Below are 2,839 nucleotides of genomic sequence, written 5' to 3'. Positions count from 1 at the left end.
AAGCAACTCCCACAACAAAGAATGACCTTACCCAAAATTCAATTACTTTTAAGGTTGAGAAACTCTGAAGTAGAGATATTAAGACAAGAGATTCCGGAACAAGGTGAACATACAGCCAGGAGTCATGATTAGTTCAGAGTGATGGAAATGTCTCAATGCAGGGAAAATAGGTTGAAGACAAATGACAATTGATCTCTGAGTATAAGGGTTTGAACATCATCCTATAGGTGTGGGAAGCTATCAAAGTTCTTTTAAGGTTGTGATTATAAAGAAGGCTTTCTGAGTTTGAAATCTTGAAAGCAGAATCTTGAAACTTCTATAAGGTGACCCATTTCTTAACTGTGACTTTGAATGTGGGAGCCTACAGAGAATTTGTGAAAATACAGGTCCTTACAGGAGACAATCTTAGAGCACTGTGAGGCTAGGACATTCAATGGGTTATTAACATGATTACTGAATTTGTCCACAGTGACGCTACTGATACTGATATGAAGGAAACCACTGGATTTGACTTCCTTTTGAGAATGTTTATTGGATTCTGAGCCATGCAGAAGCCTTCCCCACAAATCAGCATTTTCCATCTCCCCTGTGTCATTTCTTCCCTCTCTTTGGACATTCTGCCAATTTGTCTTGGAAAAATTAAATACTTTCATAATCAGAGGCCAGTGACAGGTGCCAGATTGACAACTCTGGAGGAGGACACTTGAAATGCTCATGTTCCTCATACTGAAATGACAAAGAGAAGAGTTATGTGTGCTGAAAGATTTATTGTCAAGCTGTCCTCAGGCATCTCTTTGGTCTCCAGAAAGTGGTTTAAAATTAGACACAATCTGGAAGCCTTTTAGAGCCAAAAAGAAGTGTGTCATTGTGTTGATGTTCTTTCTTCTTGTTAGCTTTGGTGGAAGCAAACTGGAGCTTGTATTCAAACACGTTCTACAAGTATACTGAAAAGGTCGCACTTGACATTCTCCCACCTCCATTCTGTGCCATCTTCTACTTCATGGAGTCACTGAATTTTAGAGATAAGAGAGATTCCAAAGATCTTTTAACTCACTTGTTCCATTTTACAGATGAGGAAAGTGAAAGCCAGAATCAAATTTATGATTTACCCAGGATTGCAAAAATTGCCATAAGAATAAGCCAGAGAGATCCTTCTTCTCTTTTAATTGTTGTCCCACTAGGTTTTTTAAGTGGATGTCCCTTTAGCCAACTTGACTACCCCTCCCATCCTACCACCCTGCCCTCCACAACTATTGACAATAGTGAAACTACCATTACAAAGTTCTTAGTCTGAGCCTGACATGCACTAGACTCTTTACAAATATTAACCCTGATTCTGTAATAACTGTGGGAAATATTATTATATTCATTTTACCAGTGACCAAACTGAATCTCACAGAGTTTAAGATGCCCCTAAATCATACAGCTGATAAGCCATAAGGCCATTTTTCAATCCAAGATCTGTATAACTCTGTTATGCCACACAACCTATGCGGATCTGCTTCAAAAATTTTCCTTCCATTCTTCTCAGTCATAACAGTTGCCATTCCTACTCAGTAGGCATCAGAATATCCAGCTGATTGACCAAATTTACACATTTTTTTAATTTTTAGGGAGGAGGTATCTTCCCCATTTCCTCCATGTGAAGGAAGTTTCACTTGCATTTCGTGGATGGCCTTTCACCTCTCCTAGTTTATTGAGTGTATTCATCATAAAAAAGTGTTGCATTTGTCAAATATTTTTTCTGCATCTATTGAGATTATGGTGTGGGGTTGAACCAACCTTGCATTCCTGGGATTAATACCACTTGTTTTGTAATCCTTTTTATGTGCTCCTGGATTCAGTTTGCTAATATTTTGTCGAGGAATTTTGCATCTGTATTCTTAAGGGATATTAGCCTCTCTTTTTTTGTGTGTAATGTCTTTGTTACGCTTTGGTATCAGGGTAATACTGGTCTTGTGGAATGAATTGTCTTCTTTTTTTTTTTTTTTTTTTTTTTTTTTTTTTGAGAGACAGGATCTTATTCTGTTGCCCAGGCTGAGTGCAGTGGTGTCATCATGGCTGTCTACAGGTCTACAGCTGCTTTGACCTTCTGCATTCAAGTGATCCTCCCACCTTACCCTCCTGAGTAGATGAGACTATAGGCACACATTACCATGCCCATCTAATTAAAAAAAAAAATTGTAGAGATGGGATCTCATCATGTTGCCCAGGCTGGTCTGTAATTCCTGGCCTCAAGCAATCTTCCCACCTGGGCCTTACAAAGTAGGATTATAGGCTTTAGCCACCAGGCCTAGCTCTCTTCTGTTTTTTTTTTTTTTAAGAAAGATTGAGGTTTATTTTTATACAAAGGGAAGTGGAGTGACTTATTTGATTTTTGAGTTTAGGAAGAAGATCCAGAAATAAACAACCTCTCCATTTCTCTCTGCCAGTTGTGGAAGAACTGCTTCCAGGGGGGACATGCTCTTCTCTGCTCTTCAATGCCATAAATGTCAACAAGGAAAGGCCTGTCTTAGCCTGACATAATCTGTCACTGGATTTCTAAGTCTGTCTAATCCTGGGATTCGACATGAGGAAAGCTACTTTCTTGCAGCATAAGTCATTTTCTTCAGTATCAACTTTATCTACAACAAGGTTTATATTTTAACTCTGTTTGTTTTCTTTTTTTTTTTTTGAGACGGAATCTCTCTCTGTTCCCCAGGCTGGAGTGCAGTGGCATGATCTCAGCTCACTGCAAGCTTCGCCTCCTGGGTTCATGCCATTCTCCTGCCTCAGCCTCCCGAGTAGCTGGAACTACAGGCGCCTGCCACCATGTCCGGCTAATTTTTTTATTTTTAGT

Source organism: Homo sapiens, chromosome 9 (genome assembly GCF_000001405.40).
Source record: "Homo sapiens chromosome 9, GRCh38.p14 Primary Assembly".
NCBI classification, from domain to species: Eukaryota; Metazoa; Chordata; class Mammalia; order Primates; family Hominidae; genus Homo; species Homo sapiens.
Note: the sequence above shows the minus strand (reverse complement) of the source record.